This window comes from Homo sapiens, chromosome 3 (assembly GCF_000001405.40).
Source record: "Homo sapiens chromosome 3, GRCh38.p14 Primary Assembly".
NCBI classification, from domain to species: Eukaryota; Metazoa; Chordata; class Mammalia; order Primates; family Hominidae; genus Homo; species Homo sapiens.
The window spans coordinates 169028510-169054822 of NC_000003.12; the positions used below are offsets into that span (position 1 = coordinate 169028510).

A 26313-nucleotide genomic window follows, 5' to 3' on the forward strand; every position below is an offset into this window, starting at 1 on the left:
TCCCAAATGCTAGGATTACAGGAGTGAGCCACCATGCCCAGCCTAGAAAATGCCTATCTAGAAAAAATAATGAATAATAAGAACTTGCAAATGCATTATTACACAAATATCAGAAACTTAAACTAGATTGAACGTGTTTTCTTTTTACTGATTGATAACTTCCGTCAAATAAATCTGCCCTTATAAATTCACCCAGTGTTGGCACATAAAGAAAAAAAAAAGCAAGATTCATATCATATGGCACAGAATAAAATAATTTTCCAGATGAGCAATCAATATTTTATTTTAGACCATGAAAACAGGTATATCGGACTATAAAGCATCCATTGTGAGTCACTTTAGCCAGGCGAATGGAACACATTAACCATTATTATTATTGAGTGGAGGTAGCTGGAAGTTTTTTATTGACTCATATACCGTTTGGTCATACTATTGTCTGTCCATCACAGTGTGTTGTCTTCCAGCCTCTTAATCATTCCTTCTCATTCACTGATCGTCTTGGTGCCTGGGCTTACATTTCTTCTCTCTTCTCCAAATTCTATTATCCTGAGTGCCTGGCAAGACCTGTGTTCAGCCCAAACAAACCTTTGGTTCTAAGCACGTTGGTCTCATCTCGAATGACTTTTTCCAGTCCAATACCCTTCAGGAGTCCACCGCAATGCTGTAAATCGGAGTCATTAATCTTTATCTGAAACTGCTCCAGATTTTCTATTGCAAATTCAGAATCTATAATTATTTGACCTAAAACTCTTATTCTCTGACTGTTGCCCAGTTACTTCCCATACATTTTTTAACCTCATTTGTTTAGCCACTGTACTAAATATTATGAAGAGCCCTGTTAGTACCTTATATTGTTCTAGACATCAGATCTCCTGGAGTGAACCCAGCAAAGATGCCTGCTCTTGTGGAGCTTACATTCAAAACCCTTGACCCTTCTTCATTCTCCTAATCAACTCTCCCCTGTCTTCCTTTTCTACATAGTGTAAGTCCCATGAGCCATCATTTCAACTACTCTGTTCTTAATATCCTAACTTTTTGGCTCATTATTCTTCCATCATGTACTGGCAGAAACCCAAGTCTTGAGGAATCCAACCATCTCCCTTCTCAGCATATTCACCTCAGTGACTGAACATAATTTAGAGGAAATCACGTAACTGTGCAGATAGATGCCATACTAAGTTCATGGTCTCTGCTATAGTAACTGGGTCCTCAACATTTCCCAGAAATCCTTTCTTTTATATTTTCTTAGCTCTTTTTCTAGATCCCTTGGTGCTTATTTCAAACTAACAAGCAAGCTAAATAATGTTGGCATCCAAAGCAAGCAGTTTCAAATGAACCCACAAATCAGTCAGTAGTCCTTCCCTTATCTGCAGTTTCACTGTCTGCAGTTTCAGTTACCCACAGTTAACCATGGTCTAAAAATATTAAATTGAAAATTCCAGAAATAAACAATTCATGTTTTAAATTGCCTGCCCCTTCTAAGTAGTGTAATGGGATTTCACATTGTCTAACTCTGTCCTGCTTGGAATATGAATCATCACTTTGTCAGTTACCTGTGCTACTTGTCCCTTAGTCACTTAATAGTAATCTTCATTATCAAGAATGAAAAAACATAGTGCATAGAGGGTTCAGTATTGTCTGCAGTTTCAGGCATACACTGGAGGTTGTGATATGTATACCCCATGCATAAGGGGAGACTACTCTAACTCATGATATGACTAACAAATAATAATTGTATTAGTTCGTTCTCGCACTGCTAATAAAGTCATACCCGGGACCAGGTAATTTATAAAGAAAAGAGGTTTAATTGACTTACAGTTCAGCATGGCTGGGGAAGCCTCAGGAAACTTACAATCATGGCAGAAGGGGAAGCAAACATGTCCCTCTTCATATGGCAGCAGGAAGGAGAAGTAGCAAGCAAAGTGGGTAAACCCCTTAGAAAACCCATCAGATCTCATGAGAGCTTATTCACTATCATGAGTACATTATGGGGGTAACTGCCCCCATGATTCAATTACCTCCCATTGGGTCTCTCCCACAACATGTGGGGATTATGGGAACTACAATTCAAGAAGAGATTTGGTGGGGACACAGTGAAGCCATATCAATGATGATTATTATCAATACAGAGCATCTAGATGTGTTCTTTCACTAATCAGGGCTCAGAGAGTGAGGCAAATAGAAAAGTTTCTGAACCTTGGTTGGAATGGAACAACTAATTTTCTTTGCCTAAGTGTTAAACATTTTGTTGGGCCTAAGTTTAAAACTGAACTCCAATTCAGCAAGAATAGTTAAAATAGGAAGCTTCTCAGTGTTATGAATAAAAGAACCCACATATATAACCTTCCTGGACTGCCAGACCAGCAGGTGGATATAGCAGAAGATGATTAAGGGTGCTCCAAAACTTAACAGGGCCTTGGACAATTGTTGCATGTTTTTTGCCTTGGTTTTCCCACCTGTGAAGTATGTATAACAGAATTAACGTAACAGGGTTGTTGTGAAGATTGAATGGGAAATATGTGTAGAATGTTTACAAGAGTATCTGGACCTCATAAGTACTCAGCTATGTTAGCTGTTAGTTGCTGATTCCAATTCCATCTATAACTCTGGCTCTGTCTGTCTCTTTCCTGACACAGCAAACTTCTTAAAAACGCTTTCTGTGTTTGCAGGTTCTTTCTAATTTCTCCACCATCTCGTCACTCCACTACTCTTCTGAACCTGTTCTCATTGAAGTCATCTATGGCGTCCTTGACACTAAATACCTTAGATTTATTTCCCCGTTCTTATTTCACCTATTGGCATCATTTGACCCTAAAAACCACTCCCTTTTTCCTGAAACTCTCCTTCCCCAGCTTATATGAAAACACACACTCCTTGATTTCCTCCTATATTTCAGGTTTTACCTTCTCACCCCTTTTTCACAATTCAGAAATATTTTTTCAGTATTGATGTTTCAGAAAATCCTATCATGTCACCTTTTTTTCCTCACTCTACATTCTTTCCCTGGGGTATCTAATGCACCTTCTTAGGATTGCCATCTCTATTGTCTAGGATGAAGACTAAGCTACCATTAAAAAAAAAAAAAAAAAAAAAAAGCTACCATAAAAAAAGAGGAGTGGCTTAAGGAATGAAGTTTATCTATCCCTTACCTAAAGTCAAGGAGTATGTTGTTCAGGATGGCAAGGCAGCTCTGCTCCACACAGTCACTCAGAGACCCAGCTTCTTTTCTCCTGCTGCTCTGCATCCCTGCATCATCAGTGGCTGCTGTTTGCAGCTGGGTTGCTGTTAAATTCAGGGTCCTGAGGGAGGCAAAAAAAATAAGAAGTCTCAGGGGTAGAAATGATATGTAAATTACATATGTCACATCTGTCCACAATCCACTGGTAAATATGTGGCCAAATGACCACATGGATCCACCAGGAGAGCTCCGAAATGTGACTTCAGTTGGGCATATCCTCAGAAAGAAGAGGGTGGATTTTAGCAGGCAACTAGCAGTCTCTCCTGCACCATCTATAAGCCAATAGCTAAAAATTCTGTATCTTTAGCTCAGCTCTCATTCCTTAGCTTCAGACTCAAACATCTAAATGCTTCCTGGACTGCTGCACTTCGATCTCCCACTTAGATCTTAAATTCAGTATGTCCCAAACAGAATTTATAATATTCTACATCCTATGATCCTCATACTCCATTTTTTATCAGAAACAATTCCTGTTTCCTTACTTCCTTTTTTTTTTTTTTTTTGAGATGGAGACTCACTCTGTCACTCAGGCTGGAGTGCAGTTGCACAATCTCGGATCACTGCAACCCCTGCCTCCCAGGTTCAAGCGATTCTCCTGCCTCAGCCTCCCAAGTAGCTGGGACTGCAGGTGTGCACCACCACACCTGGCTAACATTATATACATATGTGTGTGTGTGTGTATGTATATATAAAAGTTATATATACATATATTATATATAATATATACATATACAATATACTTATCTACATATATAATGTATATATACACATATATATAATGTGTGTATATATATTATATTTTATATATATATAGTGTGTGTCTTTTTAGTTGAGATGGGGTTTTGCCATGTTGGCCAGGCTGGTCTTGAACTCCTGACCTCAGGTGATCTGCCCACCTCAGCCTCCAAATTCCTGAGGTGACTTGTGAGCCACCTCGCCAGGGCCCTCCTGTCTCCTTACTTCTTAACACAGCAGTAGAAAGACCACTGAGTTCCCCCAAACAAATAATTGTGCCACATCCTTTACCCCCTTGCCTCCATTACTCTTGCTTCCCCCACCCTGCCAGAATTAAATCTATCATAGTGGTCTATTGATGCTCTATTCTACATCTCTCTCAAATATTTAGGTCATTGCAACTTACTTCCTTTACTACTACCTTAATTATTCCTCCAGCCTCCACTGTTACTCATCCAAACTTACAAAATTCTTTATTCTCTGAATCTATTTGATTTCTCAGTTTGGACAGTAAGAGTTCAGAGAGGAAAGGACATTATGTTATCTAAATTTGTTTGGTATTGTGAGTAGCAAGAGGTTCGAGACAAGGGATTTTGTATAAAATTTATCCAAGTCTCCTCACTCCTAAGGTGAAAACTGTGAGTTCTTACTGTCTAATAAAGTGCATAGCAAGGGATACGTGTATTCTCCACAGTGCAGCCTGCAGTCTTTCTAAAATACAAATCTAATTTTACCACACTCCCACATATATAACTTTTCAATGGCTTCCCATTGGCCTTAGGATAAAGTCCAAATTCTTGATGTGGCTTAGAAGTTTTACATATGCTGATTTTTGCTGAATTTTGCCACCTCCTCACTGGATTTTTGACTCCAGACATGGAGACGGTTTCTTATGGTTCTTTGAAACCATCTCTCCCTTAAGTCCTTTGCTAATGGCATTCCATTTGGCTGGAGCTCTCTTACTTAAGCTCAGATCCTTTTGCCTAACTAATTCCTAGCCATCCCTCAAGCAGCAGCTTAGTTATCCTGTCTTCTAGGCAATCATGGGACCCTCCCCTGCAAATGGAATTAGGTGCCTTTTTCTACTTATTTTTTTAGCATCTAGTACTTACCTTGTATTGACACTTATAATATTTTATTATAATTGCTTTTTATTACTTATTTCCCAATCAAGAAAGTGAACTCTGTGATGACTGAGACTATTCTGCTCTCTGATACATCTGCAGATAGGATTGCGAATGTACTAGATGTTCAATAAATATCCACTAAATATTAATTTAATATTTGGATATCTGAGCACTTTGGAATGAGAATAAATGTAATTTAAGAACATTTACTCATAATTAAGTTCTTAATACAATTTTAATTAGGATGAATGGGTTATTTTATTTACTAAAGTACGTTTTATATAGAAATATATTCAATAACACTTTGAGAGTAATGAGCTAAAATGAATGATGTCAGGACAGACATGGAAAGTCAGAGTCTGCTAGACTTCTGATCTCTCTTCCTTGCCTGAGTCTTATTGTGCATTCCACACGTACAGAGCTCTTGCCTGAGTCCCACAGTCTGATTTCTTGAGGCCTCCTCCATGAAAGTTATGAGGAGTTGGTAAGCATAGGGTCATAAGCCCATCAGTGGGTCTGACTGAACTTCATTCAGAGTCAAACCTCTCTCAGACACTTGTCTTAGGAAATAGTACTCAGCCACAGCGATAATCAATTATGAAGTATGTTCCTGGTGATTACTGGTAATAAAGTACCAATGCCTATTAATTTCTTTTAAATTAGAACAGATTCAATGTCATCTCTATAATAGCATCAGTATTACCATTTTCCATTTTGTATGTTTTCTTGAGAGAGAAAGAAATGATTCAATCTATGACAGAGCTGACAATGACAATGGCATGTGTACCTGATAAATTATCTGGTTATCTGGTTTTAAAAATGGAAATGAGTAAATAAGTTCACCTTAATACAGAAAATATGGGGTCACCAGGTATGAATTAGACAAAAGCAAAATTTAACACTTCCTTTCTAGATGGGGAAAACAGGAGACTTACTAACCTAAGGGAATGTCTCAGGGCTGAGCAAGGCAGGGTGGTACTGCAAGAGGAAAGTGATGAAATCACCCTTTCTGAAAGCATGTGTGTCACAAGTAGCTGTATTTAACTCCTCCAGTTAGGGAGAAGCAGCATTTCCACCAGCGGGTTTGAGCAGATGTAAGTTCTAGGTGAATTTCTGTTACCTGCAAGGAGGGATGTGAATGCTCTCTTCATGAAGCTAAACTGGGTACAGTCATGGATTTCTTACAAGAGAATTTAGGGGCTTGACTGCCCATGCATCAGTAACATACAAGTCTTTTTAAATTGTATTGGCTAAAACTAATCACATTATTATGTTTCAAACATAACATTTAGTCCTACATTCAACTTGTACCTAAAAAAGTATGTTGCAGCAGCCAGCTTTTAATTTCAGGCTTCCAGGCTTTAATTAATTTAGAGGGCATTTACATCCAAAGAAAGAAAGTCTCATCACAAAGTGGAATTTGCACAGAGTGAAACCCTAGGACCGAAAAAGCAACTATCCCAGGGGTCCCTACCAACACAGCATGTGTGTCTCCAAAAGAAAAAAACCAAAGTATACAACCCTCTTTTTGGCTACCTCAATCAGCAACTGCGTAAAAGCCCCACATTTGACCTTAACCTATCCTACCAGGCATCCTCCTAGTTGTGTACTTGGAGATATCTGGAAGATGGTTAGAGACATCTGGTGATGTTCTAGAATTCAAAAGTGTGTGGAATGATGACTCCTCTAGAGATCTGATATAGAAAATTCTCAATAGTTTTGCATACTTCACATTAATACAGCCAGGTCCTGCAGACCCAAACATAGACAGGTACTTTTTCTTAATTGTGTTATTTTTCTCTTTGGTTTATTTGCTGTGTCCGTTATTGTTCTTGTTGCTCTCCTTTGTTTCGTTCACTTGAAAAGTCAGTGCTTTGTGAAGGTATGTTAATGAGTTATGAGGGCCGGGCATGCTAGCTCACACCTGTAATCCCGGCATTTTGGGAGTCCGAGGCAGGCAGAACACCTGAGGTCAGGAGTTCAAGACTAGCCTGACCAACATGGAGAAACCCTGTATCTACCAAAAATACAAAATTAGATGGGCATTGTGGCGCATGCCTATAATCCCAGCTACTTGGGAGGCTGAGGCAGGAGAATCACTTAAACCCAGGAGGTGGAGGTTGTGGTGAGCCAAGATCGTGCCATTACACTCCAGCCTAGGCAACAAGAGCAAAACTCCATCTCAAAAAAAAGAGTTATGTGCACTTGAAGGAAAATTTCAGAGGACATGGTGTAACGTCTGAAAGAGCTACAAGCCCTACTTGTTTCTGAAGATTTAAACATTCTCAGACTTGCTCTGAATGAAGAATCTCTAGTCCACATAGACATCGATCAGCTGCCTTTCATCTTCCTACGTCTCCTTCTCAAATTATGTGTGAAACTATAACATTGTAGACTGGATACTCCCCAGTGAATCCTAAGCTGTCCTAAAGATCATTTTCTACCACCCTGAAGGTTTAACTACAACTGCATTTAATTGGCATTGGTGGGCAATTCATTGGAGGCATTGCAATGTGACTTCAGGAAATGTCTGCCTACCATAGTGCTGGCAGGCTTATTTCTCTAAAACCTCATATCCCTTGTTGAAAAGTTTTGTGCTGCAATGTTGATGATATGTCCAGTTCAATCAATCAGCAAATATTTATGTTAAATGCCTGTTCTATCACTGCTGCTACATGACCTTCCCCCTCCATTGGCCAATGTGCTCCTGTGAATAGTGTTCAGGCAAAGGCCAGGATCATTCTTGTCTGACCCCAGTGGTTGCATGCTGTCGCTTCTAGTCCTTCCTAAGTGGAAAAAACAATGAATTTACCAAGAAGTAGTTATTGAGCACCTACTATGTGCATACAATTTTAATGCAGTTATGTTTCTTCCAGTCTGGTGAAACTCTCAAACACCAGGATGTCTCCCTCCCTCTCCCCTTCCTTTGTCCTTTCATTAACAGTTTATAATATTAATAACTAACATTTGCATAGAATTGTGTAATTAATAAAATATTTTTATCCCTTTTTTTTTTATATGGAGTCTTGCTTTGTCACCCAGGCTGGAGTGCAGTGGCATGATCTTGGCTCACTGCAACCTCCACCTCCCAGGTTCAAGCAATTCTTCTGCCTCAGGCCCCCGAGTAGCTGGGACTACAGGTGTGCACCACCACACCCAGGTAATTTTTGTATTTTTTTTAGTAGAGACGGAGTTTCACCATGTTGGCCAGGCTGGTCTCCAACTCCTGACCTCGTGATCCACCCACCTCGGCCTCCCAAAGTGCTGGGATTACAGGCATGAGCCACCGCGCCTGGCCAAGTATTTTTATTCTTAATCCTACACACAATACTGAGAGGGGGATGTTTCTCATCTTTCATAGCTGAAGAACCAGGAGATTGGGATTTGTCCAAAGACGCAGCCAGTAAAGAGAAACTTTCGGCAGCACCACATTGCTCTCTATATAAATAAAGCACTGCAATAAATGCTTGGGTTTGGGAATAGAAGTGATAATGAGATGAGTAAAATAGATTTTGACCTCAAAGAATTTTTTTTTTTTTTTGAGGTGGAGTTTTGCTCTTGTTGTCCAAGCTGGAGTGCAATGGCGCGATCTCGGCTCACTGCAACCTCTGCCTCCCAAGTTCAAGCAATTCTCCTGCCTCAGCCTCCCAAGTAGCTGGGATTACAGGCACTTGCCACCATGCCCAGCTAATTTTTTGTACTTTTAGTATACATAGGGTTTCACCACCATGTTAGCCATGCTCGTCTCCAACTCCTGACCTCAGGTGACCCTCCTGCCTCGGCCTCCCAAAGTGCTGGGATTACAGACGTGAGCTACCGTGTCTGGCCTTCCTCAAAAATTTAATATCAGAGGTAATACAATGCTTTTGTCCATTCTAAGACAGAACTAAGTGGCTGGTGCATTTCAGAATCCCTCCCTCATATCCACTGAGTGATGACCTGAGTCTTTGGAATCTTCATAGTTGCCCTGACCTCTGAGGAGTTATCCTGGCACAACTCTATCTTGGGCCTGATCAAAGCTACCTTTCTAAGAGCCACTGCTTTTTGAAAGCTGTTTGTAGAGCTGTATCTAAATATGATGTCCGTCTTCTCATCTCCTAGGCTCTCCAGTGCACTCCAGCATGGCTGTTGGCTTTGTCTTTTCACTCAAACAACTTTCGTTAAGGTCATGATTGACCTCGATGTTGATAAAGTGAAATTTTTTTTTATTTTTATCTCAAGAGCCAGAACAGCATAGTGGTAAACAAAACATGGAACTCTGAAGTCAAATTGCCTTGGTTTGAAACATAACTCCTCTATTTACTAGTTGTGTAATCTCAAGAAAAACACTTCACCTTTCTGTACTTCACTTTCTTCATGCATAGAATGGGGATAATAATAATACTACATCATAGTATCAGTGGGAGGATTCAATGAGTTAATATATGCAAAGCCCTGAGAAAATGTCTGAAACATTAAATGCTATAGATAGTAGATGTTATTTATTATTGCCTAAACTGCTTGCATGTTAACAATTTTTTTCTTCTTTGATCCCAGTCTTCCATTGATTTCTAGGATAACTGGCTAGCCATATGCAGAAGATTGAAACAGGACCCCTTCTTTTCACCATAAACAAAAATCAACTCAAGATGGATTAAAGACTTAAATGTTAGGCTCCAAACTATAAAAATCCTAGAAGAAAACCTAGGAAGTACCATTCTGGACATGGGCCTTGGAAGAGATTTCATGATAAAGTCACCAAAAGCAATTGCAACAAAAACAAAAATTGACAAATAGGACCAAACTAATCTAAAGATCTTCTGCACTGTAAAAAAAATAAAAATAAAAATAAAATAAATCAACAGAATAAACAGACAACGTACAAAATGAGAGAAAGTATTTTCAAACTATCCTACAAAGGTGTAATATCCAGAATCTATAAGAAACTTAAATTAATGAGCAAAAAATGAACAACTTTAATAAAAAGTGGGCAAAAGGACATGAACAGTCACTTCTAAAAAGAAGACATACACGTGGACAATAGGCATATGAAAAAATGCTCATCATCACAAATCATCAGAGAAATGCAAATCAAAACCACAATGAGATACTACCTCATACTAGTCAGAATAGCTATTATTAAAAGTCAAAAAATAACAGATACTGGTGAGGTTGTAGAGAAAAGAGAACACTTATACACTGCTGATGGGAATGTAAACTAGTTCAACCACTGTGAAGCAATTTGGAGATTTCTCAAAGAGCTTAAAACAGAACTACAATTCAACCCAACAATCCCATCCCTGGGTATATGCCCAAAAGAATATAAATCATTCTGCCATAAAGACACATGCACACATATGTTCATTGAAGCACTATTTACAATAGCAAAGACATAGAATCAACCTAAATGCCCATCAACAATGGACTAGATAAAGAAAATGTGGTACATAAGCTGGGCGTGGTGGCTCACGCCTGTAATCTCCGCACTATGGGAGGCCGAGGTGGGCGGATCACGAGGTCAGGAGATCGAGACCATCCTGGCCAACACAGTGAAACCCCGTCTTTACTAAAAATACAAAAAAATTAGCCGGGCATGGTGGCAGGCGCCTATAGTCCCAGCTACTCGGGAGGCTGAGGCAGGAGAATGGCGTGAACCCAGGAGGCGGAGCTTGCAGTGAGCCGAGATCACGCCACTGCACTCCAGCCTGTGCAACAGAGTGACACTCTGTCTCAAAAAAAAAAAAAAAAAAAGAAAAAGAAAAGAAAAGAAAATGTGGTACATTTGCACAATGGAATACTACACAGCCGTAAAAAAGAATGAGATCATGTCCTTTGCAGCAGCATGGATGCAGCTAGAGGCCATTATCCTAAGCAAATTAACACAGGAATAGAAAACTAACCATCACATGTTCTCACTTATAAGTGGGATCTAAGCATCGAGTACATATGGACACAAAGAAGGAAACAATAGACACCGGGGCCTACTTGAGAGTGGAGGGTGGGAGGAGGAAAAGGATCAAAAAATTGCCTATCAGGTACTATACTTATTACCTGGTGGGCAAAATAATCTCTATACCAAACCCCCACGACACACAGTTTACCCGTATTACAAACCTGCACATGTACCCCCTTTATCCAAAAAGTTGTAAATAAAAAAAAGAAGACCAAATTTGCTCAAATATTTTTCTATGACAGAATCTTCCTCTGAATTCTTGATTGACATATCAAAGTGCCTTCTTCTTGGCATCTCCACTTGACTGTCTCATATACAACTTAAACTCACCCTTTCTCCCTAAACTGGTTACCTCTGGTATTCCTCTATTAGTACATATAACCAGCATTCAATGTGTTATGAAGCTATAAATCCAGGAATTATCTCCACTACTTCTGTCGCACTGACCCTTAATATCCAATCCATCACTGAGTCCTGAAGTTTAGAATTTCCATATCCTTTTATTCACATATTCCTCATCCCAGTCAATGCTACCATTATGTTTCACTTGGACTACTGCAATACCTTTCAGAGGGCTCTCTTCTCATCACTCTGACTCCTGTCTATCTGCTTCCCATATATCAATCAGAATAATCTTTACAAACAGGAGAGCCTATCATCACTTACTTAGAGCATTTTGATAACTTTCTTATACTAGTATAATAAAGACAAACTAACTGCTTGAGCTCACAAAACATACATACATCAACTTTAAATCATCCCACATTTCCTCTTGCTTTCTTACTGCAGAGTCATTGACCATAGCTTCCTTTTACTAAAAGTTTCTTGCTCCCTCTCAGTGCAAGGCCTTTGTATATGTTCATCCTTCTCCTCTTTCCCTCCTCTTTGCCTCATTGGTTTCTACTCCTTTTGACATCCTAGCTGTATCATCACAGCCTCAGGAAGGCCTCCTCTGATTTTCCTCACTCAATATCCTTTTTCATAGCACTTTTCCTTGTTGTAGTTTCACATTCCTTCATGTCCTTTTTTGATTCTGTCTGTCTCATACCACAGACTACAAATTCTATGAGACTATGTCTCTGGGGGAAGTTGATTACTATAGTATAACAGGACCTGGCATATAAATGGTGCTCCAGTACACATTATTTGAAGGAACTTAATCTTGGACCCTTTGAGTTCAGTTCTATATCACAATGCCCAACATGGACCTCATCTTACAGGAGGGATGACTATACAAATACACATATGCTAATTATGGCAGGGTAGATATAATACTAACTGTGCTTAAAAGCTGCTATTTTTTAATACCTGTAGTCACAGGAATTGTGGTCAAATGAATTAGAGATGTTAGAGAACAACACAGTTTGTATGACTGATACTCAGGACTGAAAGAATAAAGCATTTAATTCATTTTGCCTTCTTAACATTGCTAAGACTGCAATTCCGGGGTCCTCTCTACTTACAGGCAGTATTACATGACCAAACTGCAATATAATAAATTTTTAGCTATATCTTATTTGTACTCTTATGTATAGCCATTATTTGAATTATTTTCTTCCCCAAAAAGAGGCTGTTTTAAGTTATGATGACTAAACTTAGACCCTACTGATTTTCTTTCTTTGTTTTTTTTTTTTTTTTGAGATGGAGTCTCGCTCTGTTGCTCAGTTTGGAGTGCAGTGGCAAGATCTCGGCTCAATGCAGCCTCCACCTCCCAGGTTCCAGCAATTCTCCCACCTCAGCCTCCTGGGTAGTTGGGATGACAGGCATGAGCCACCACGCCCAGCTAATTGTTGTATTTTTAGTAGAGACGGGGTTTCACCATGTTGGCCAGGCTGGTCTCAAACTCCTGACCTCAGGTGATCCACCCGCCTTGGCCTTCCACAGTACTAGGATTATAGGCATGAGCCACTGCGCCCTGTACCTACTGATATTCTTAAAACCACAGTAAGGGAACAAGCTGGGAATTGCATTATTTTACCTTCAGAATGGCCAGAAATATTTCAAACTTCAGCCTCTTGATGATTTCATAGATGAATAACAATGTGGTTGGTTTTACTAAAAAACAAGAAGCTTACAGGCCTTTCTTATTCTGCAACCCTGTCCCAGTGTTTAATAATAAAATTAATTGTTTTATGGCCTTAATGTTCAAATGTCAAAGACTGTAAATTTGCCGCACGAACAAAATTGAATGACCCTGCTTGGAAAATTTGTTTCTATTAATATTATAGGATCTGTTTAAAAAAAAAAAAAAAGCATCTGGACAGTTCATTTGAATGGCCACAAGAGAGCAGTAAGAAATTAAAGCTTAGGAAGATGACTCATAGTCACACTTACGTGTGTACTTTTTGCTATTAGGAAGAAATGAATAAAAAACCTACTTATATTTGTTCTTAAACTTGGCAATACAGTTTAGAATCTTTTTTTTAAAAAACAATTTAAGAAGGACAATATAGATAGCATCAGTAGATTAACTGAAAAGAACCTTGAATTAGAGCTTTTAGGAACCTCACGTTCATGCGTGAAAATGGAAAACAATAGTCACCCTGGGCAAAGGGACATCTTGAGAGGTCATCCAACACATCCCTGTGGATTATGCAAGCCAAAAGGTATGTGTCCCACTTACTAAGTCCCACAGAAGATTCCAGCATCTGTTTCTAAAGTATGGCCAATATTTTACAATGTTAACTATAGGACTTTTTTTTAAATGTCAAATTCTATCTTTTTATGTTGTAATTCAGCTACTATATTAAGTAGTATGTAGGGATACCCTGAATCTTTTTTAAAAGTTCATACCTATTTCTTTATGTGCCCCTGCCCTTTACTGCTCATACAAACTTGGCCATTTTTTACTTGGAATCTTGGATATCATGAATTTTAAAAATGAATTTTAAAATCATGAATTTGCAAAATGAACGGCAATAGCCTTAATATGTGAAGTACTATGAGGAGTCAGTCTGAAAAAAAGATGAAGAGTAGAAAAGTAGGCAAAGGCTATGAACAGGCAATTCACAAGATTAGAATTATATACTCAATATACATATAAAAATTGTTTATGTGAATTTTTAACATTTTTAACCTAATAATTTCCCTGCTAAGAATTTATCCTGTGGTAACAATCAGACTAATAAGAGTATAGATTTTAAAGTAAAAATAATTGGGAAAGTAAAAACTTAAATTATGTCAAAGAAGAAGAATTTGTTAAATTAATTATAGTCATACAAATGGGGTATAAGGAAAGCCATTACAATACTATAAGTAAATATTTATTGACATTGAAAGCCATGGAACATTTTAACTTTCAATAAAGTTGAAAACATTATATATAGTATGATTCCACTTAGGAAAAAATTGCGAATGACTGCATAGAAAAATATTTGGATGATATACGCCAAAACAGCAATTATGTCTGGGTAATCATCTTATGGAGGATTTTCTTTTTGTTCTTTTTTAGAACTTCTTGTAGATTCTGAATTTTTCTTACTGTTTGTTTGTTTGCTTTGGTTTATTTTAACAATTAACATGTGTTACTTTTTAAATTAGTAAAATCACAAAAAGCTACTTCTATGTTAGAAGAAGAAAATCCTCAGATAATCTTAAGAGTTAGTTTGGTGAATTTGTGAGGTGTTTAAAATTTAATCCTTATGTAGTGAGTTGCAATGAAAACATGGCTTAATAAAATATAATTTATGACATCTACGTTTTCATAATAATATGAAAGAAAAATATATAACAAGCTACCAGGGTATATTGAGATTTTGTCTACATGCAGCTAATATAACTAGGATATTTTTAAATCAACTGAAATGGATTTCATAATTTATAATGTAAACAGCTTTTATTTTTAGGAAAAAATAAAAGTCCCCCTCACCCCTTTTACCCGTGAACAGGCCAGTGACCTGACCTTCAACCTATTTCACTTTTTCTAAATGTTCTAAATGGCCATATTCTTACATAGGCCCATATTTAATCTTTAATTAATATGAATATTTCAGAACGGCCTTTACTTAATATGTGTTCTGTATAGCTGAGGATATAATAATAAAATTAATTACAGAAGAAAGTTCCAGTTACTACAGATTTGGAAAAGAATACTATGTTTCTTAGTATAAACTACTAGCAAGTATTTATTTTTAACCATGTTTAAATTGCTTCTATAATTTCTAAAATTATCAACTACTAAATATTTTTTACAAACCTAGTAATAGATTAGATCTCAAAATAAAAGCACAAGATAAACAGATGTCATCTCCATCTTAAGATGTCAAACTGAGGCTCTGTACTTTGCCCACAAATGATGTAGCTGGAACTGGGAAGGTATTCCATGCACCAATACATAGAACCCCCACAGCTTTTCATTAAAAAAAAAAAAGAAGAAGCTCTTTCCCTAATTATTCATACTTGTCTCTATATAGCATTTTCTCAAATATTTGAGGCCATTTTCCTCCTATCACTTAACCCTTCCATATGGGGAAAAACAAAATGTCTACAAGATATCTTTGGGGAACCACATTTCAGTGTTTTGTAATTTTATCCTTGCTTCTACTTGTGGGAATTAAGAGTTAGGCTTTGGCAGTGGGTGCAGGCAATACAGTCCAGTGAGCCAACTCAGAGCCCTTCCCACCACCAATGGCCTGAATCTCCTTAGGTGTTTGCCCATGTCTTGTACTTAATGCTTCTTCATTTGTGGAATCAGGACAGGCATCCTTGCTACTCTTATTAGTTGGCCACAACCCTATCACCCTTAAGAGTGTGTTTTATCCTTCACAGAAAAATAAAAAATGATGTTATGGAGACATGAGAGCACAAAAGGAAGTAAATGACTATGTTTTATCCATCACATCTGAAAATACAGTCTTTAGCAGCCCATGAAATTGTACTTGATAGCTAAAGCATTTAAATGACCTCAACTGTGTGTTTCACAGGATGGCTTAGAAATAGGACATGGAGGTTCTGGTTATACAATAGAGGGAGCACTGCCATAATGATGAGTAAATGTACTAGTCATTCACAATCTTCCTTCTGGCTAACATTGAAAAGGAGTTATTCATCTAGCACTGGCCTTTGCCCTCTTTGGTAAAAAGGTTCCTTGAATTTCTGAGGATCTCCTGATTTTTACCACAATCTCTCCCTATTCCCTTTCTTTTCTATTCCCCAAACATCACCCTCTTTTCACTCCTGTGTCTTTTGTTTGTGTGTGCTTTTAAACAACATGTTGAAAAACAAGACCATCAATTCCATTTTAAGAAAATCTAAAGGGAACCAAAAAGAGCAAAGACATTCAAACAGTAAATAGACAGGAAGGTAAAGATGCAGGAGATGAGGAGGGAAGGGTTGCGAGTGAGGCGGGGGACAAGAAACACAGGGTGCTTCCTTTACTTTGGATGAGTCACCTGACACTGATTCTGTCTGGAAAAGGGAATGTAAGAACACTTCCTTAAATTCTATGTGAACAGATACAGTGCAGTGGTATGTAAAAACTCTTTGAAATATGTTCCTTTAAAAACTCCAAGTATTATTTTTAACTTTCAGCTGGCTTAGCCTTCATATTTCAGCAATTATAGAAAAGTGTGTTGCTGACATAAAAATTGGGGGGAGTGTTATCACTATATTTTCTTTTTATGTTTACAAGCTTGGCTTTTTTAGTAGAGTTAATAAAGTATATGGCAAGCCTAAGGTTGCTCAACTTGCTGAAAATAAAATATTAAGATTCCAATTCTATTAACATTGACCAAGCATCTAGAATGTGTTCGGTTCTCTTTCTAGGTACTAATAGAAACTAAATGAATGTAAGGCTCTCATAAGAATCAAAGCAACTGTGGCAGCAAGTGAAGGAAAATTCATGGACCCTGAGTTGGTTGTAGTAGACGGAGACTCTGGAACCCTTCCTGAGCTTCATTCTGACTAGAGAGTTTAGATAAATTCAATGATTTGCTCTTTGCTTCACCCATTGGGTAACTATGCCAGGCCAGGCAATGGCCCACGATGAATAAGATATTTTCCTCAGGGAGCACACATTCTTGTACAGAAAGACAAAAAATGTACACGTGAGACAATAAAGCAACTAGATAATATTAGAGACTAATAAGTGCCCTAAAGGAAATAAAATAAGGTAGGATGATAGATAATCCCTCAGAGGTTTCTTTAGATTAGGTGACCAGGAAGAGTTCACTGAGGAGGTGACATGATGGACCAGCTGGAACTCCAAGGATGAATGAGAAGTTAGTAGTGTAATGAGGCAGGAAAAAAGTCTTTCAGGAAGAGAGAATGACCAGCCTGAGGGTTTCAAGACAGGACGAGGCCATTGTGCATGGAACATAGTGTGAAAGAGGAAGAGTGGTAAGAATTGAGGTCAGGGAAATGATACAGCCCAGCTCACGTTAAGCTTTTGATGTCACAGAAAGGAGTTTGGATGCTGATTAGAGTATAATGAGAGGTCACTGGAGGATTCCAGCAGCAAACAGAAGCTAACTCATTTACATTAATTTTGAAAGAAAATTCAGGTTTCTATGTAAGGAATGAACTATAGGAGAGGAAGACTTGAAGAAGAAAGAGGAATTAGAAAGTTACCATATAAGTCAGGTGAACAAAGATGGTGCCACAAACCAGAATTGTCACACAATACCGGGTAGAATTAGGGCTTTTCGTGGTATATCTAGAAATCTTTGGTGGTCTTCCTCTGAAATATAATTATATTGTCTAACACACTGAACTTGTTGGTGACAGTCACAATTAAAGTACAAAACAGATGAGCCATAGCTCTACACTACAAGAACATTTTTACTTTTAGTAATATTCATTATTATTTTCTTCTTCTAACTTTAGAGCATCGTACCATAACTTGAAATGTGCATAATATTTACTCTGTCTTCACTCTCCTCACCACAAGCCCCAGGTTTCTCAATCTTCTCATCCATTGAAGGCAAAGAAGTGGGAGAGAGGGTCAATATATTGCTTATGTTAACAAAGAAAGCAAGAAGTAGAACTGCTAGCAGAACACAGGTACTATGTCTGGATTTCAATAATGCTATAATCAGAACCACATTGCTTTATAAAGGGAAATCTGGGCTTCTAAGAACTGTGAAGTGGAGATTTACCAACTGACCTAATCATTCAAAGAAAATGTCAAACTACAATAATAGATTTCTGTATTCCTGTCTGCCTGAAGAGCAGAGTTGGGGCCCCTGCTGGGCATAGATCACGAAGCACACAATTATCCAGGCTCCAAGTTTCAGTAAAGAGTTTTGCTTAAATGTGCCAGATATTGTTAAAAACACAAAGAACCCTGTTCATAAACACCAGGCTTTATGCTGATCCAAAAGCCCGTGTTTATTTGTGTGGTCAATAGACTGCATATTTTAAGAATAATGTAAATAATAAAGTCAAACTACTTTATTTGGTATGAGTGAAATTGATGGGCTCAATAATCAGACACATTTGTGGACTGCTGTATCTGTACATATGCTACTGATGAGAAATAGTGACTGTATACATGTGAGAGAATTTATGGAAGCATATTTCAAAATTTACATATTCCATTCTGGAAAAAAAAAGTTCTCTTCTTTGCTTTGTGAATACAATTAGAAAAAAGAAATATTTTTTTAAATGACTGCAATGACTACTCCTTAGCTATTTTTCCAAGTAAAAAGCAACACAGCAGTCAAGACCAATCAGACCTGGAGTGGAAAATGTTTCTAACCATTAAATATAATCAAAATACTTGGATAATGTCTTAACGTCTTACATTGGGTGGGGGTGGGGGATGTAGGTAAACCTTTACTTCTGAAATGAAGACAATAGTGTTTCTCCCTACCAGAAAGAAATCTAAACTTGAAAAAATCTTCAATCTCACTGAATAAAGAGTTCAATCATAACTAGTTTTCAGAATATGTACATGTTTTCTTGAAATGCTCCCAAATTTCTTTTTGATCAATAAATGGTTCTTTTGACTGAATAAACTTGGTTTTTCTCATTTTTGTTTTTGGGAGTATTTGTTTGTTTGTTTTTGGTATGCCCCTATTCTTCTGTCTATAGTACCTGCAACCCAAATCCAAAATAATGTTCACTACAGATAGCTGAGCCCAAGCCCAAGTAACCACCAATTGTCAACTAATTTTTTTAATGTGCTGAAACATGATTAAATGATTTTTTTTTCTGTTTAGCTTTAGGCAAAAGTAAGTTAACTCCTGTCCAAGTGAGGACTTATTCCATCATTGATTTCTGACTTTAAAAGCTATTGACGCTTATTTTTATAGGCTGTATTTATTTTCCTCAGATAGAGCCGGAGATCAGTTGAAATAGACATATAAATAACTCAAAATTATTTTCTGATTTTCAGTAAAGCATAGCTGGTCATTTGCAGAACTTTGCCCCTCTATCTAGAATGGAAACTTTTCACTTCTGCACTCAGAGGTAGGCATCTTCCCTTGATCACAGCACACTTTCTCTCAGAGCCTGGATGAGACTTCACAACAAAACTCACAAGTAGCTGTTACAGAGATGAAAGCTGGTAAAGGAGATGAAACCTCCTTGCTGACCTATGTGCAAATGGAAGTGAGCTTTTTTCACATGATAGGAAACATACAAAGTACCTTCTCCTTCATGTCACATTCTTTCAATAAACTGAAGAGAATGCTGTGAGGGGAACTTCAGGATTGAGAAATAGACCCTCCCCCCGACAAAAAAAGATAAAAAGACCAAAAGAAAAAGAAGAAAAGATTGCACATTTGCACCCTGTGCATATTATCTGTATTGGCAAATCAACGCAGAACAGCAAGATGGTCAAAACAGAAGTTCTAAGTGCTCAGTGAAATCAGGATTGAATCCATATCCTCACAACTCACCAAGTTTCTACTGCTAAGTCATGTGGTGTATATATTGTGACTCTTGTCCTTGAACTACAATTCACAGGGGAGATTGTAGCATTGCTTTAAGTTGTAATTTTATGGAAGAGCTGATTAATGGAGGTCACAGACCAGATGAAATACTTAGCTTTGATTTGAGTCAACTTCACAGAGGATATTTTAAAGTATCAGACCAATACTAAATAAAAGCAGAAAACAGTACCTTGGATAATTGAAAGAAAAAAACATAAAAGAAAAAAATGGCAATTTCGGGTATATATTTTAAAAGTTAGTTCTAACTTGAATTTTGCTTATTTGCAGTCTTATGACTATACATAGATCTGTGTTAAAACAAGGCCAATATTTTAGAGTAACATAGCAATGTGCATTAAGAAATCTATCTAAATCCTGATTAGCAATAACTGCTGCTTAAAATACTAGAATCCATTTTAGCATTCAACAATATAAATTATTTTAGTATTCTCAATATCTTTTTTAAAAAACCTCATAATATACTTTTTATAACCTCTTGTTTTAAATAGGATCAAATACATACTATGGTAGAAACAGAGATTCCAAATTATAAATTTGGTAATTTATACTAAGTTTTAAGAGATAAGAAGCTAGTTCTTTCCCAAATTTTAAAGACAGATAATTTGTTTTTTGTTACAGGGTCAACATTACCATCATTCAAGAAAAATATTTAATATAAATGAATGTAAAATATTAATATAAAATATTAATATAAAAGTTACTTTCAAGAATGTATTATTTAATCTATGATATTACTAAGTTATTTTCATAAAGCATTTTGTTCACTGTGATTCATTATTTTATTTGAAAAGTTAGGGTAATTTAGATTCTTCTAATATCTAAGTCCAGTGGCAAATATATTTATAAGTATTATCTTCACGTCAGTCCACGGAGCTAGAACAACAGTTCTGCCATGAAATGGGAGCCTGGAGTAAAAGCAATTTAAGTAAATTGAAGATGAATGGTTCCACTCATATAGTGATCAGTTATCTCCTTTCCAAATGAGATCTTAAATAATATTCTGTTTTACTTGAGTATTTATCCTCATACAGTTTTGATTACTTTCCTTTTTCCATTACTGCATTCACACTTCTAACCTGGGGATTATTAATAATAAATAATTTGCTTCTATATCATTGTTCAGTTTTAGAATTGTGAATGGCTTACCTGGATAATGACTAGTTTTGTATTTGTTGCCAACCATCTGCAATGACCCTTATCCTAATCCTACATCAGAATAGGGGGGTTTGTGAAATAAAGGAGGAAGATGAAAAGTAATAACTTGTCTTATTTTTGTACTTACTTTGTGAATAGGGACTGTCTGGCCTAAGATCCAAGGTTTAGATGAACTTTGAAACATACAGAATTACATTTTAGAGTAGATTCTGCCAGCGCAACAGTGTTTCTTCCTATTGAGACGTACAGACTGTCTATAAGAAGTGGAGAGATTCTTTATATTTGCAGTGTTTGTGTGTTTTAAATCTCCTAAATTTTCTTTCCCAAACAAATGGAAACATACAGACGTTGCATTGTAAATGTGCACAATGGTGTGAGCTAACCTGAAATAATATGATCGTTGTCTGTGACTCTTTTTAAAAAACCTTCCCGTAGCAGCTGCTTCTGACTTCAGTTTTAAAACATTATTTCCATGCACATCCATGAATTATTTAGAATTCCTTAGTTTATGACACTCCTCTGCTCCTGCTGGTTACAAGATTGGTTTTGAATCATTGTCCTTAGAAAGATAAAGCACATACAAAATTGAATTTCATATGCACCACCCATGCAGGTTGAGCTCTCTAGAATGCTTTTACTTTCCAGATTGACCAAGTTGTTCAGCAAAGTGAGTACATAGTTCATTAGAATTTTAATGTAAAACCTTGTAAAATGAAAGTTTGGATAAATACAGTACCTATAAATAAAATGGAAAAGAATAAAGAATAGTTTCACATTATAAACATTATATTTGGAAACAGGAAAGTCCTCAGTTTTTATTTAATTAAAAGTCATCAAGGATGATCCAGCTCTCCAAAAAGTTTCCCACTTGTATTTTCAAGTTAACTAAAGTTTTATTCTAGTATCTTTTTTAAATATTCAAATCTGTTTTAGAAAATTTTTCTTTATTAATATGCAATAATCTCAATTTCTTCAGCAAAGAAAATGGTGTTAAAATGTCACTAGCTATCCAAAGGAAAAATAAAAATTTAAATCAATTGTCGAAATATTTCCAACCAACATGATCACACACAGTCTACATTGCAGACAAGATATCTCAGTATTTGAGGTGAAGGCAACATTATTTGAGTGAAAAAGCACCAAGAAGCATGTGATGCAATCTGTCTTTCCAAACCAAACCTAGCTTTCTTTTCCATCTCTTTTTGCTATTGCCTTTTCCTCTTTTCTTGATCTTTTCTCCCCATAACTTCCTTCATGTCTCATTGAAGTTTTGATCTTCTCACTGCTAAACTCAAATAGGGCCTCTATGACCAAGCAGGTTTTTCTATTTTACTTGAATTTTCATCCAGATGATTTGCATCCTAGAGACACAACCCCATTTTTCAAAATAAGATCTGGCAACACTCAGCTGTGGGGTTCAATTGCAGATGCCAAAAATGCAAGGTGCTATGATGGAGTTTTATAGTGTCTAGTGGAAAAACTCATAAGTGAAATTCTTTCTCCATCAACCTTCTTACATTAAAAGGGTCAATTTTTAAAAATAAACTCAGCTTTATGGAAGAATCATCAAACACAAAGGCATGGTTCCTTAGGGCGATGTGTCTCAGTTAAGACACATTTTTACAATTTGTTTCTATTCCAAACGTTTGATCATTTTATTATGTTTGAGGGAGTTAAAACTTTCTCTTCTGATGATTCTTGCATTCTCCAATAAATGTTGTTTATAAAAACTGTAAACAAATCTGACTGAATACATAAAATTACCATCTAAGAATATAGCCTAAAATAATCATTTCCAAAAGAATTTACACAAAATGAAAGCAGATAGTTTTTTGGATTTATAGTAGAAAACAGGTCTTAGAGAATTTTCCTGTTAATACAGCTATGAAAAAGATATTCTGGATATATTTTAAGAATGACACATCAGCTTCATCAATATTAGAATATAACAATATATAATATACAACTCTTTAGGACATTATTAAATAATTAAATAAAACATAAAGGCTTTATTTTTAAATTTTTGCTCTTCATATTTTAATTTGCATAAACATTTTTAAGTCTTAATAAATTTCAAAGAATTCCATATGACACTCTAAAAATGGGTTTTAATATAAATATGAAGTTTTTAAAAGTACATGGATTTTCCTAATAGTTTTGAAAATCTTTTTAAGGATGTTCTTACTTTTATGGTTCACTGTTGTCAAAAACATTCAAATAATTTAAAATTTAGAACTACCAACTAGAAGATTAATAGGCTAGATATTTTAGTATTGATATTAAGTCAAAAATTACTTATTTGTTCTTTCAATTGCAGAATACAATACTATAATATTCTTAGGGAAATAATATTGGCAGTTTTTCTTGGTAGTGTAGACTGTTATGTTCCATGACATGAGTACAAACAGGAAGCACAAAATATATTTTTCTAAACTAGCTTGTAATTCTTTTTCAAGAGCTAATGCATACTTTGCATGTATAGTTCTCAGCTGTTTATTTGTTTGTTTTTTGGACAGGATATAGCAGTAACTTCCTACAATTTTAACTCATTTAAAAAATATGTTATTCCAAAAATCTTAATGGATAAAGATAAAACTAAGACTCATAGACACAAATAGCAGGAAATTTGAAAACTATATATTTTTTTTGCAAGGAAATTCTGCTTATTTTTTCCAAATGCCTTTGCAAACAAGACAAATCTCATGATAAACAAAATATATCTAAAAATAAATATCACATATTAAATAAGTAGTAGTTAATCCAAGATGCAATATTCTTCACCTTTTCTAAATTATTTGGAAACACTTTCTAATGTCAAGGAATAGCTCATTTATTTATACTTAGATTTAGATTTAGATAATGTTTTAAAAATGATAATGAACTTTTAGCCAAGAAATTGCTTAAGTAAAATTATATGACTTGTGACTAACACTGTGCTTTTGTTTTTAAAGGAAAAAAATACAGTTACGTTCATTGTTAAGATGTATTTATAGAGCATTTTTATTGTTAAGTTATGCTTTTAGAGCTTTAGGAACATTTGAGAACAATAATCAGTAGTGTGTAATGGTATTGTTAGTGGAGTCCTTTCTATTGAATTTTCAAGATGTTGTAAAATGAGATTATGTGAGTAGCACCTCTGGACACTTTTTCCCATCATTGTGTTGGTATCAATCGCTGACTTCCACCATTTCTCCGGGTATTAAATAGAAACACTGGTTCCCACTGCCTTGATTGGAGGGTTTATAATACCTGACAGAACTGATAACCCTACTGAGATTAAGCATTGTGATCTTATGAAAGCTAAATGAAATCTACAGCTCCAGAATGTGTCTCTAAGACAGACCTGAGAAGATGTGAGAAAATATCTTTTTTTCATTCTTTCCTTATTCTGACAAAGCACTTCTTTCCCCAGGCAAATCTGGCTAAGAGAGACAGTGAGAAAACTCTGTGTCATAAGCTTCAGCCACAGTAGGGCCGCCATTCTACTGGCAGAGGTAACATCTGACACATGCCAAAGCTAATGCCTCATGCAGAAGGTGTGTTGCATGATCACTGTGTGTGGACAGATTGCCAACACATAGGATCAGTTTGAAATTGGCAGGGTTCAGCATGACTGGAAATTGAACTATGTTTGAAGAAGAGGTGCCTATGCTTGGCTCTGCTCCTGGAGTCATCTGTAACTACGGAAAAAGCCTTCTCACATTTACTTCTCAATTTCCCACACATTAAAAACATGAAATTTAACAATTATTGACTCTCCTCTATAAGGCCTTTCCAGGATCAGATATTAAAGTATCCCATTATCTAATATATTTAGAATGGTGTCCCAGTTCGTGGGGCCTGGCTGCAGAGACCAATAAATCTGCAGCTAACCACTGACGTTTTAAAGATTTTTGCTGCATTCTTCCTATCCTTATCCTCCTTGGTCATGAGTGGTCACCATGACCAGAAGAACAGAAATTATATGCCCTCTGCTTTCCACTCCTGGATTAATCTTAAGAAAGGATCTATCTCTTAGTAGCCCTGAAAAATGCGTTGTCAGCAGAGAACCGCTACCTCTAACTGATGTTTTTCAAATACCTTTTCAGCTCTCATTGACTGTCCTTCCTTATATTGATCCCTCTTCCAAACCTACTCAATCCACCAGTATTCTCATTTATATAGAAGTTCAGCTGCTACCCCAGTTCCATGCATTACTGGGTGTGGTCTGGCTCAGGAAATCTTGTTCTCTTAAAATGTATAATATTTTACATTTCATTTTGATAGGGAGATATCATCTTCTAGCTGGCTCCTTGGAAGGCCAGAAGCTAAGGCATAAGGAGCTGGTAATAACAATGTCATTATATGTCTTACAAGAAAATTTTTATTTTACCAAGTGATAGTGTCTTAAATCAAAGAATTTATTTTAAGGTCATTTTTTCTAGAAGCATATTTATGCTTTAAAAAAGCACAAATACAAGAATTTTCTGAAAAGAGATTTAGTTGCTGCAAAATTACAACGGATGGTGACAGTCTTATGCAACTCTGAGCTTGAAGTGTTGCATTTAATTCTCAGTCCCTTATTTTAAAAGCATTTACAAATCATAAGATATTCAGATGAATGTGACAGAATTGGGGAGAGGTCTGAAAATCAAACCATATTAGGAAGATTTAAAGTAACTATGGATGTTTTGTGTGGAGAATGAAAGACTTGAAGAGGAGATGCCCTATGATTTTTAATGGAGAGTCATATAGTAAAGGAATTTAAATTATTCAGTGTGGTTCCTAAGGACCATTGCATGTAAGTTGTGTAAAGAAAGATGCAGCTTTATATAGAGAAGAAAAATATATCAACTGGTATGTTAGATAGGAATCTTCTTCCTTATGAGAATATCTGGGACAGACATCAAATGGTTGCAATGAGCAAAACCTCATTCTAGCATAGCTTATTTTAAAAAGTGGATTATTGAAAAATAAAGGAGACATTTGCAGAACTCAACAGTGCAGTCAGGCTTCATGAAAAACAAAATAGTGTCAGTCATCTCCTCCCCCTTCCTCTTTCTCTCAGAAACCGCATGGTCTCTTCTCTCCCTTGCTCTCTTTAAGTCTGCTGCATTTATCTCTACAGAACGGATTAGCCTGTAAGAGCTCTGGTTTCCCTGCCTCCTCCTAATTTTAACTTGCATGTGGCTCTGGTTTGCCAGAGCAGCAACAATATATCATCTTTATATTCCCACAGCATTTCAGTATCCA

General features: G+C 36.4%; 1 long non-coding RNA gene across 1 annotated transcript in view; it reads right to left on the reverse strand.

Moving 5' to 3' along the window:
- Nucleotides 1-256: 256 nt before the first annotated feature.
- LOC107986051 (uncharacterized) overlaps nucleotides 257-26313 on the reverse strand; it is a 35428-nt gene continuing 9371 nt past the window's right edge. The window contains exons 2-3 of the long non-coding RNA XR_001740574.2: nucleotides 3150-3299; nucleotides 257-661 (exon numbers count right to left, since the gene is read on the reverse strand). This is a non-coding gene — a long non-coding RNA (uncharacterized LOC107986051). The remainder of the gene's footprint in view (nucleotides 662-3149; nucleotides 3300-26313) is intronic.